Genomic DNA, 12,149 nt, shown 5'->3' on the forward strand with positions numbered 1-12,149 from the left:
GGAAAGGAGTGGGCCTGACCCCCAAGCCCCTCCGAGGGGGAAAGTCACCAGAAGACATGGTCCAGCATGCCCTCCGCCGAGCCTCACGCCAATGCTCTTAGGATTCCTGTGACGGTGGCGGGGCGGAACCTGCAACAACATTGCACAGAAATACTGGCTGAGCCCAAATAGGACTAGGGGAGGGGATCATGCTGGTCCCTGTGGGAGGAGCACGAAGGCAAGAGAAGGGATGTCTAAGCTGCCACACAGGGTGCTGCTGGCCCTTCTAGGGAGAGGCGGCCACTTGTGCAGGGGCCTGGGGGGAACTGGGAGCACAGCGCAGGGTGTTCGTGCTGCATGCAGGGGAAGGGAGGGCAGGGGAAGGGAGGGCTGCGGCCGGCGGGCCTTGGAGGCCACACTACAGAGACAGGACTTAGCCCAGAGGCCACCGAGGAGCTTTCAGCAACAGGGAAGCAGTGTCGAGTACTGCAGGCCACGTGGCTGCATGTGAGGGTGGCTGGTGGGAATAGGGTGCGGCAGCCCATCTGGCCTCAGAGGCACGAGAACTGAGAACAGCTGTGCGGCCATACCTTTATGCATGGATGGCCACAGCCTCCCAAAGGTGGGGCAGCCTGAGTGTTCATCAACAGACAAATGGACAAACAGCCTGTCCATAAGGCACAGTGCCATTCTGCCATAACACGACAGATAGACCTCAAAGAGTTCGTGCTGGGTGAAAGAAGCCAGACACAAATGTCCAGAATAGGCTCATCGGGACAGAAAGCAGACAAGTGGGTGTCAGGGGCTGGGGCAGGGGAAGGAAAATGTGGCGGGGGGAGTCCTTTTTAAAAAATTTTGTATTTATTTTTTATTTTTTAATGAGACAGACAGGGTCTCACCCTGTCACCCAGGCTGGAGTGCAGTGGCGCAGTCATAACTCACTGCAGCCTTGATCTCCCGGGCTCAAGCAATCCCGCCCCAGCCTCCTGAGTAGCTGGAACCACAGGCGTGTGCCACCATACCCTGCTAATTTTGTGATTTTTTTTTTTTGGAGACAGGATCTCACTATGTTGCCCAGGCTGGTCTCAAACTGCTGAACTCAAGCGATCGTCCTGCCTCAGCCTCCCACAGTGCTGGATTACAGGCATGAGCCACCACACCCAGCCTCGGGTTTCTTTTTATTTCGAAGAAAATGTTCTCGAACTATAGAGCATACTAAATGCCACTGAATTATGCACTTTAAAGGGATTGATTGTATATTTTGTGAATATCGCCTCAAAAACAGATGATTGATGGATAAATTGATACATAGATATATAGATATATAGACATGATTGATATAGATGATTGATTGATAGATGATGGATGATTCATAGGTGATAAGTGATAGATAAAATACATGATAGATACATGGATAGACAGATGAATAGAGAGAGATGATAGATGGTTTTAAAAGTTTTTTTAGAGACAAGATCTCACTATCTTGCCCAGTCTGGACTCGATCTGCTAGCATCAAGCAGCCCTCCTACCTCAGCCTCCTGAGTTACTGGGACTACAGGCACATGCTACTGTGCCTGGTGATAGATAAATGATTGAAAGATAGACATGATAGAGGCATAAATGATAGATAGATGGATAGACATGATAAAAGGAAGATACATGGGATAGATCAATGATTGATTATATAAGTAAATGATATAAATTGATAGATTATTGATTATAGATTAATAGGCGGATAGTTGATTGATAGATGATTGATCGATTGATTGATTGATTGATGGAGAGAGACAGAGAAGCAAGCACAGCCATTGCAGCCACCCAGACAAGACATGCTGAGGCCTGAAGTTCCAGAAGGTTCGAGCAGTTGGAAGAACTCAACAGGCATGGGGGCAGCTTCTTCAGGGAGTGGAGGGGGCAGCAAGGTACCACTGGGTTCTGGCTTGGAAGGTTAGGTGAGCGACAGCACCCTTGGTGGACAGAGGCAGCTCCAAAGGAGGGGCAGGCCTGGGGAGCAGGTGCAGCCCGAGGGGATGGTGTGTAGGCAGTTGGTTCAGAGCTTGGGGCTCCTCAGTGGGACGTGGGTCAGCAGGGAGGCCAGTGGTCATTGAAGTTTGGATGGAGACAGCCTGGCTGAGGGGAGGGGCATGCTTGGCATCTCATTTAGGGGACAAGAGGTAGACTGTTTACCTGCATTTTGAGATTAGGATTTATTCCTGATCCCAGGAGGTGGCCGATTCGGAGGGCTGAGAGTTGTTCCTCCATTTCTTTTGACGATTGTGTAAGTCGCCCATGCTTGATCATAAACCCCGTTTGTTTATTTCTGACACATAGCTGGAATGGCTCTAATTACTACAGATAGAAGGAGACACATCTGGCAAAGACCATCCAAAAGGAAGCTAGTGGAGAGAAGCTCATATTGCACAAATAGGCTCCAGGGCAAAATCATTATTAGGATTAAAAGTGGTTGCAGCATACTGATAAGTATTCATTCCAAAGCATTCACTGGCGGGGGAGGGGTGGGGGAAAAAGAATAAATACATAAATAAGTTAATTATTTTAAAAGAAGTATTAGCGGCCAGGCGCGGTGGCTCACGCCTGTAATCCCAGCATTTTGGGAGGCCAAGGCGGGCAGATCACCTGAGGTCAGGAGTTCGAGACCAGCCTGAACAACATGGTGAAACCCCATCTCTACTGCAGTACAAAATTAGCCAGGCATGGTGGCTCATGCCTGTAGTCCCAGCTACTTGGGAGGCTGAGACAGAACTGCTTGAACCCGGGACGCGAAGGTTGCAGTGTGCCAAGATCACGCCATTGCACTCCAGCCTGGGCGACAGGAAAACAAAAAACAAAAAAAAGAAGCATTAGCCATTCTGATCTTGTGTGCACCTGCATAATGATAGAGCCCCAAATGACTACAAAACAAAAAAGTGTCAAGAAAAGGAAAAATGAATAAATGAGCACATTCTCCACGCAGGAAATTATACCACTTCTCACTGGAACTGCTGGTTTAAGCAGACTCAATGAGTAAGAATATAGAAAAATTGGGCCAGGCATAGTGTCTCATGCTTGTAATCCCAACACTTTGGGAGGCGAAGGCAGGCGGATTACTTGAGGTCGGGAGTTTGAGACCAGCTTGGCCAACGTGCTGAAACTAAAATAAAAAATACAAAAATGAGCCAGATGTGGTGGCTCATGCCTGTAATCCCAGCTACTCGGGTGGCTAAGGCAGGAGAATCACTTGAACTTGAGGTTTCAGTGAGCTGAGATTGTGCCCCTGCACTCCAGCCTGGGCAACAGAGTGAGACTCTGTCAAAAAATAAAAATAAAATAAAAAAATATGGAAAAGTTGAACAAACTTGATTTAGTGGACACCCAAAAACTACAGACCACACATTGTTTTCAAGTTCACCTTGGACATTTACTAACACCATGTCCTAGGCTGCAAAGCAAGACTCAACAAATAGCAAAAGAACTTGCATCACACCAGCCATGTTCTTGATGCAACAGAATAAAGGCATAAATTGGCAACCAAACTAAAATTAAGGGCTCCCCTATGTTTGGAAATTTAAAGATACACTACTGGCCAGGCACGGTGGCTCACACCTATAATCCCAGAACTTCGGGAGGCCAAGGCAGGAGGATCCCTGGAGCCCAGGAGTTCAAGACCAGCCTGAGCAACATAGTGAGACCCCCCATCTCTATAAAACTAAATTAAATTATTTTTTAAATTAAAAAAATAAAAAATAATGCACTGGTCCGAGAAGAATTAGAATGAAAATCTAAAAGCATTTAGAACCGAACAATGAAAACTATGTACAAAAGCTTAAGCCATGTAGCCCAAGCAGTACTATGAGGAAATTAAAAAAGAAAAAAAAAGTGTGGCCAGGCGCGGTGGCTCACGCCTGTAATCCCAGCACCTCGGGAGGCCAAGGTGAGCGGATCACCTGAGGTCAGGAGTTAGAGACCATCCTGGCCAACATGACGAAACCCCATCTCTACTAAAAATACAAAAATTAGCTGGGCGTGGTGGCGGGCACCTGTAATCCCAGCCACCTGGGAGGCTGAGGCAGGAGAATTGCTTGAAACTGGAAGGCGGGGGTCGCATTGAGCCAAGATTGTACCGCTGCACTCCAGCCTGGGCGAGAAGAGCAAAACTCCATCTCAAAAAAAAAAAGTGTAAAAAATAAAAATAATATTATGAAGTACAGAGGGATCTCCCTGCAGGCACCACTGAGAGCTGAAACATCGGGGCACCTGGGGGCGAAAGACATGAGTGGGAACAACTTCAGCTAAAAGGAATGCAAAGGGATTGCAGATGTAAAAGGGAGAGTTCACAGCAGAGAGTGAGAGGAGCGCCTGCCAGGAACATCACAGAAGCTGGAAAACAAGTGGGGGAGTGATAACTGATTCAAGGGATCAGCGTGAACTTGGAAAAAAGTGGTGGGAGGCACCAAGGGCACGTGCCCACAGAGGAAAGGCCACATGAGGCCACCACCCAGATGAGAGGCCTTGGAAGAAACCAACCCTGCTGGCACCGTGATCCTGGGCTTCCAGCCTGCAGGGCTGTCAGACCATTACGGTGTTGGACCGACACTGTAAAGAAAGAAGCAGTGATAGCACACATGGTTGTCTCGCTCCAGTTCTAAAAGCGGGAAGGATGCTGGGCGCGGTGGTCTCCAGAAGGCCCCTCCATGTTTCTCTGTGGCACCCGCAGCACCTGGATGTCAGCACTGGGAGAAACCGCCTCCACATTCATCTGTAAAATCCGAGCATCAGTGAGCTCAACTCTCCCGCTTTCTCAGCTCTCTGTTTCCATTAGGTTTGGTTGATCTGGGCCAGGGCCAGCATCAGAGGCAAACCCAAAGCTGTTCTCTGTGGGCTGACCTCTTCTGCCTTCTCTTACGTGTCTGCCATGTCCACTAGCCTGTGAGCTTCAGGAGACAAAGGAGCATGTTTCTTCTTCCTGATACCCCCGAAACTTGCACAGTACATGCTATCAAATGCAGATTCAATGAGGGCTCTTTGCATTACAATTTTGAAAAAGAATCATGCACTATGATTTAGCGTCTCTTCCCATCAAAACCCAGGCCCATAGAGCAATTGCCTTTGCCTGTGATGCACACCTCCTACCTGTTCTCCCCCCAACCCGGCATCTCTGTCTTGCAGACCAAACACAAAACTCATTGCCATCCCTCTTCAACCTGGCTTCCTTTCTGACTTCCCTTCAGGTTCCCCAGGCAGAACCATGGGGATCATCTGACCCTCTGTCTCCCTCATCCTTCCCTAACCCACCAGCCCGTGTCCTACTGACTCAGTCCCCAAAGTCCCTCTCGCTCCCCACTGGATCCTCAGTGTCTGGTAGTACAGTGCCTGACGTGGGAGGTACACAGCGACCACTAGGTGAATACAAGAATGATGTGATTGAGGGTGTTTTCGGTCTCATATGCTGCCCATGCTCGGTGATGCAGTAAATCATCATCTGTTTGGAACGGTCTAAGTCTCCAGCCAGAAAGGAGGGAGAAGGCACCATGTGACCCTGCATCTCCCTTGCCAGTGCTCTGATTTGACGTTCTAGAAGAGTAGTCTTTATGCCGGGGCACATGCTCCCCTGAGGATTATGAAGCCTGTCCAGGAGGGGCTCAGCATGGATGGTCCCAAGGAGCCAATGTCCCGCCTCAGCTTGCACAGGGGCTCTAACCTAACCTGCCTTTCCCAGAAACCTGACCCCAGTTGACAAGAGCAGGATGTTGCACCATGATACGTCGTGGGGTCAAAGGCTACCAGGCACCAGGAAAAGAAGCCATTTGAAATACCGCCTCCTTTCACCAACCTGACATCTCCACCTCTGCATTTCAGGAAAAGAAATACATCCAAAAGAATTTTCCCTTCACATTTAATAATTACAAAAATTGTGTTATTTTCCTCAATTACATGCTAGGAAAACTTGTAGGAATTTTGCCATCTCGAATAAATGTTTTAACACTTAGGGGAAAAAAAGTAGTGGGAGGCAGCCAGTGGCAAAGTTGGGTTTGCACAAGAATCGGAGGCACCAGATAACTCAGAAACAATGTGTGTGTATGTGTTGGGGAGTGCAGAACAAGATGATTTATTGGAAGTCTCTATAAGAAGCTGCTGTCCTTGCACTGGCTATGCAGATTAAAAAAAAAGAAGAAGAAAACAAAGAAGATGCTAGATGCCCATATCTCTGCCCCACTTTGTACAGAAGACCAGAGATAGAACAGAAGGTCTGTGGAGATGCAAATTTAAGCCACAGTAAAATACCCTTTTTTTTTTTTGAGACGGAGTCTCACTCTATCACCCAGGCTAGAGTGCAATGGCACAATCTCAGCTCACTGCAACCTCTGCCCCCCAGGTTCAAGCAATTCTCCTGCTTCAGCTTCCCAAGTAGCTGGAATTACAGGTGCACGCCACCACACCTGGCTAATTTTTGTATTTTTAGTAGAGACAGGGTTTTATCACGTTGGTCAGGCTGGTCTCAAACTCCTGACCTCAGGTGACCCACCCACGTTGGCCTCCCAAAGTGCTGAGATTACAGGCATGAGCCCCCGCACCCGGCCCACAGTGAAGTATCTTTTTGCATCCACTGATTGGCAGAAATGTAAAGTCTGACAATACCAAGTGTTAGCAGTACTACAGAGCAGCAGGAACTCACACTTCCCCGGGGCAGGCAAACTGGGACAACCACTTTGGAAAACAGTGAGCATTATTCAGTATAGTTGAAGATGTGCACATTTAGAAGCTAACAATTTCACTCCTAGACACCAGATTGCATGTACAAAATCGCTCACAGCATCATTGTTTATAATGCTTAAAATAATGTTTAAATGTTTTTTAATAGGCAAAAGCCAGAAGCAACCCAAGTGTCCATTAGCAGAAGAACAGATAAAAGATCTATGTTAGAGTCATACAATGAAACAGTATACAGCAATAGAAATGTCCCAGAGTCAGACCATAGAAGTCTAAAAAAATAAATAAATGAATAAACTACGGTTATGTGCATCAACTTGGATGTCTGTCACAAATGTCATGTGGAGTGAAAACAGCAGGTTATAGAAAAATATATCCAGTATGATTCCACTTATAGGGAAGTTAAAAAAAAATAATGCTGCAGGATTTGAACAACACTCTAGACCAGGGGTCCCCAACCCCAGGCCACTGACCAGTACTAGTCTGTGGCCTGTTAGGAACCGGGCTGCAGAGCAGGAGGTGACTGGTGGGCAAGTGAGCATTCCCGCCTGAGCTCCATCTCCTGGCAGATCAGCAGCGGCATCAGATTCTCATAGGAGCACGAACCCTATCATGAACTGCGAATGTGTGGGATCGAGGTTGTGCCTGATGATCTGAGGTGGAACAGTTTCATCCTGAAACCATACCCCCCAACCCTCCATCCATGGAAAAATTATCTTCCACGAAACTGGTCCTTGGTGCCAAAAAGATTGGGGACCACTGCTCTAGAGCAAATGGACCTAGCAGACATACACAGAACATTCCATCCACCAGCAGCAGAATTCGCTTTCTTCTCAGCTGCACATGGGGTAGTCTCCAGGATAGACCATATGTCAGGCCACAAAACAAGTCTTAACAAATTCAAGAAGATCAAATCACATTAAGCATCTTTCCCAACCGCAAACAAGAGATCACTAAGAGAAAGCAAACTGGAAAACTCACAGATTTGTGGAAATACACAACACCCTCCTGAACAACCAATGGGTCAAAGAAGAAATCAAAAGGGAAACAAAAAAAAAAATCTCTTGAGACAAATGAACATGGAAACACAACATACAAAATGCAGTGTGCAGCAAAGCAATTCCGAGAGGGAAGTTTAGAGCCTTAAATGCCTCCATTAAGAAATAAGAAAGAGGCTGGGCATGGTGGCTCACGTCTATAATCCCAGCACATTGGGAGGCCAAGGTTGGTGGGTCACTTGAGGCCAGAAGTTCAAGACCAGCCTGAGCAACATGGCGAAAACCCGTCTCTACTAAAAATACAAAAATTAGTGGGCGTGGTGGCACATGCCTGTAGTCCCAGCTACTTGGGAGGCTGAGGCACGAGAGTCACTGGAAAAAAAAAAAAAAGAAAAAAGAAGTAAGAAAGATCTCAAATAAACAACCTAACTTTACACACCAAGGAACTAGAAAAGGAAGAACAAAATAAGCCCAAAGTCAGCAGAAAGAAGGAAAGAACAAAGATCAAAGCAGAAATACATGAAATAGAGACTAGAAAAATAACAGAAAAGATGAATGAAACTAAGAGTTGGGATTTTTTTAAGATAAAATCAACAAACCTCTAGCTAGACCAACTAAGAAGAGATAAGACTCAAATAAATCAATCAGAAATGAGACATTACAACTGATACCACAGAAATGCAAAGGATTGTAAGAAACTACTATGAATAGGCCGGGCACGGTGGCTCAAGCCTGTAATCCCAGCACTTTGGGAGGCCGAGGCGGGTGGATCATGAAGTCAGGAGATCAAGACCAGCCTGGCTAACACGGTGAAACCCCGTCCCCGCTAAAAATACAAAAAATTAGCCGGGCGTGGTGGCGGGCGCCTGTAGTCCCAGCTACTCGGGAGGCTGAGGCAGGAGAATGGCATGAACCCGGGAGGCAGAGCTTGCAGTGAGCTGAGATCGTGCCACTGCACTCCAGCCTGGGCAACAGAGTGAGACTCCGTCTCAAAAAAAAAAAAAAAAGAAAAAAAAAAAAGAAACTACTATGAATAATTATACTCCAACAAATTGGGTATCCTAGAAAAAATGGATACATTCCTAGGCACATCCAACCTACCAAGACTGACTTAAGAAGAAATAGAAAATCTGAACAGACCAATAATGAGTAAGGAGATTGGACAAGTAATAGAGTCTCTCATCAAAGAAAAGCTCAGGCCTGATGGCTTCATTGGTAAATTCTACCAAACAGTTAAATAACTAATACCTATCCTTCTCAAACTCTTCCAAAAAACTAAAGAGGAGGGAACGCTTCCAAACTCATTTAATAAGGTCAGAAAATTCCCTGATATCAAAGCTGGACAAGAACACTAAAAGAAAAAAAGCTACAGGCCAATATCCCTGATGAACACAGGTGCAAAAATCTTCAACAAAATACTAGCAAACCGAATTCAATAGCACATTAAAAGGCTCATTCACCATGAGCAAGTAGAATTTATCCCTGGGATACAAGGGTGATTGAATATATGCAAACCAATAAATGTGATGCACCACGTTAACAGAATGGAGAATAAAATCATTTCTCAATTGATGCAGAAAAAGCATTTGACAAAATTTAACATTCTTTCATGATGTAAAAAAAAAAAAATTAGCTCTTGGCCAGGTGCAGTGGCTCATGCCTGTAATCCCAGCACTTTGGGATGCCGAGGCAGGAGGATCTCTTGAGCCCAGGAGTTCAGACCAGCCTGGGCAACATAGCAAGACACCTCTACAAAAAAAAATTTTTTTAAATTAACCAATCATGGTGGTGTGTGCCTGTAGTCCCAGCTACTCTGGAGGCTTGAGCCCTGGAGTTCGAGGCTACTGTGAGCCAGGATCATACCACTGCACTCCAGTCTGGGTGACAGAGCAAGACCCTGTCTCAAACAAACAAACAAATACAAATTAGCCAGGTACATTGGTGCGTGCCTGTAGTTCCAGCACTTTGGGAGGCCAAGGCAGGAGGATCACTTGGGCCCAGGAGTTTAAGACCAGCCTGGGCAACATAGGCCCTGTCTCTACCAAAAAAACAAAATTAAAAAGAAACTCTCAACAAATTAGGTATAGAAGGAATATACCTCAACATCATAAAGGCCATATATGACAAGCCCACAGCTAACATCATACTGAATGGTGAAAAGCTGAAAGCTCTTCCTTTAAGATCAGGAGCAAGACAAGGATGCCCACTCTCACCACTTCTACTCAGCATAGTCCTGGAAGGCCTAGCCACAGCAATGAGAAAAGAAAAAAAAAAACATTTAAAAACCCAAATTAGGCCAGGCTCGGTGGCTCACACATATAATCCCAGCACTTTCGGAGGCCGAGGTAGGCAGATCACCTGAGGTCAGGAGTTCGAGACCAGCCTGGCTAACATGGTGAAACCCCATCTCTACTAAAAAGACAGTAATTAGCCAGGTGTGGTGGTGCATGCCTGTAATCCCAGCTACTTGGGAGGCTGAGGCAGGAGAATCACTTGAACTTGAGAGGCTGAGGTTGCAGTGAGCCGAGATCACACTACTGCACTCCAGCCTGGACAACAGAGTGACACTTCGTAAAAAAAAAAAAAAAAAAAAGAGAGAGAGAGAGATTAAATTGTCTCTGTTTGCAGATCACACAATCCTGTATGCAGAAAACCCTAAAGACTCCACCGAAAAATTGTTAGAATTCAGTCAAGGTACAGGATACAAAATCAGCATACAAAACAATAGCTTTTATTTTTTATTTTATTTTTTTTTTTTTGAGACAGAATCTTGCTCTATCACCCCACCTGGAGTACAGTGGCTCAATCACAGTTCACTGCAGCCTTGACCTCCTGGGCTTCTCCCACCTCAGCTTCCTGAGTAGCTGAGACTACAAATGTGCACCATCATGCCTGACTAATTAGTATTAATATTATTGCTATTATTGAGACAGGGTCTTGTTTAGTTGCCTGGGCTGGTCTTGAATTTCTGGGCTCAAGTGATCCTCCTGCCTTGGCCTCTCAAAGTGCTGGAATTACAGGTGTGAGCCATCATGCCTCACCTAGTAGCATTTCTATATGCTATATGCTAACAATGCACTTTCTTTTTTTTTTTTTTTTTTTTGAGACAGAGTCTCTGTTGCCCAGGCTGGAGTGCAGTGGCACTATCTCGGCTCACTGCAAGCTCCGCCTCCCGGGTTCACGCCATTCTCCTGTCTCAGCCTCTCCGAGTAGCTGGGACTACAGGCGCCCGCCACCATGCCCAGCTAATTTTTTGTATTTTTAGTAGAGACAGGGTTTCACCGTGGTCTCGATTCCTGACCTTGTGATCCGCCCACCTCGGCCTCCCAAAGTGCTGGGATTACAAGCGTGAGCCACTGCGCCCAGCCAATGCACTTTCTAAAAAAGAAATCATCAAAGAAGATTTATTTTGTTATCCAAAAAGGAAATCAAGCCAACAATCTCATTTATAATAGCTATAAAAAATAAAATACTTAGGAATAAGTTTAACCAAGGAGGTGAAAGACCTATACACCGAAAACTGTAAACCACAGATGAAAGAAACTGAAGAAAACACAAATAAATGGAAAGATACCCTGTGTTCATGGATTGGGATAGTTAATATTGTTAAAATGTCTATACTACCCAAAGTGATCTACACATTCAATGTAATCCCTATCAATATTCCCATGAGATTTTTCACAGAAATAGAGAAAGCAATTCTAAAATGTATGTTAAACCACAAAAGACCCCAAATAGCCAAAGCAATCTTGAACAAAAAGAACAAAACTGGAAGACTCATGCTATCTGATCTCAAAATATGTTACAAAGCTATAGTAACCAAAACAGCATGGTTCTGGCATAAAAACAGACACATACACCAACGTAACAGAATAGTGAACCCAGAAATAAATCTATGCATTTACAGTTGATTGATCTTCGACAAAGGTGCCAATAATACATGATAGACAAAAGACAGTCTTGTCAATAAATGGTGTTGGGAAAATTGGATATTCACTTGCAGTAGAATGAAATTAGACCCTTATCTCACACAATGCACAAAGATCAACTCAAAACGGACTGAAGATTCAAATGTGAGACCTGAAATTAGAAAACTACTAGAAGAAACTTACGTGAAAAGCTGCTTGGCACTGGTCTGGGCAATAAGTTTTTCAATATGACACCAAAAGCACAGGCAACAAAACAAAAACAGACAAATGAGTTTGCATCAAACTAAAAAGCTTCTGCACAGCAGAGGAAGCAATCAACAGAGTGAAGGAGACAGCCTATGGAATGGAAGAACATAGTTGTAAACCATCCATCTGATACAAGGTTAATACACAGAACACACAAGGAACTCATACAACTCAATAGCAAGCAAATGTATTTTCTAACCCAGTTAAAATAACCCAGTTACACCTACTATGTACTCCTAAAAATTAAAAATTGAAAATTGAAAAAATAAATAACCCAATTTAAATGGGC

General features: G+C 45.2%; 1 long non-coding RNA gene across 4 annotated transcripts in view; it reads right to left on the reverse strand.

Annotated features, from left to right (window-relative positions):
* The window catches only part of PLXNB3-AS1 (PLXNB3 antisense RNA 1), a 31,620-nt gene that overhangs the window by 9,997 nt on the left and 9,474 nt on the right, over nt 1–12,149 (reverse strand). The window lies entirely within an intron of this gene.

Source organism: Homo sapiens, chromosome X (assembly GCF_000001405.40).
Source record: "Homo sapiens chromosome X, GRCh38.p14 Primary Assembly".
Taxonomy (NCBI): domain Eukaryota; kingdom Metazoa; phylum Chordata; class Mammalia; order Primates; family Hominidae; genus Homo; species Homo sapiens.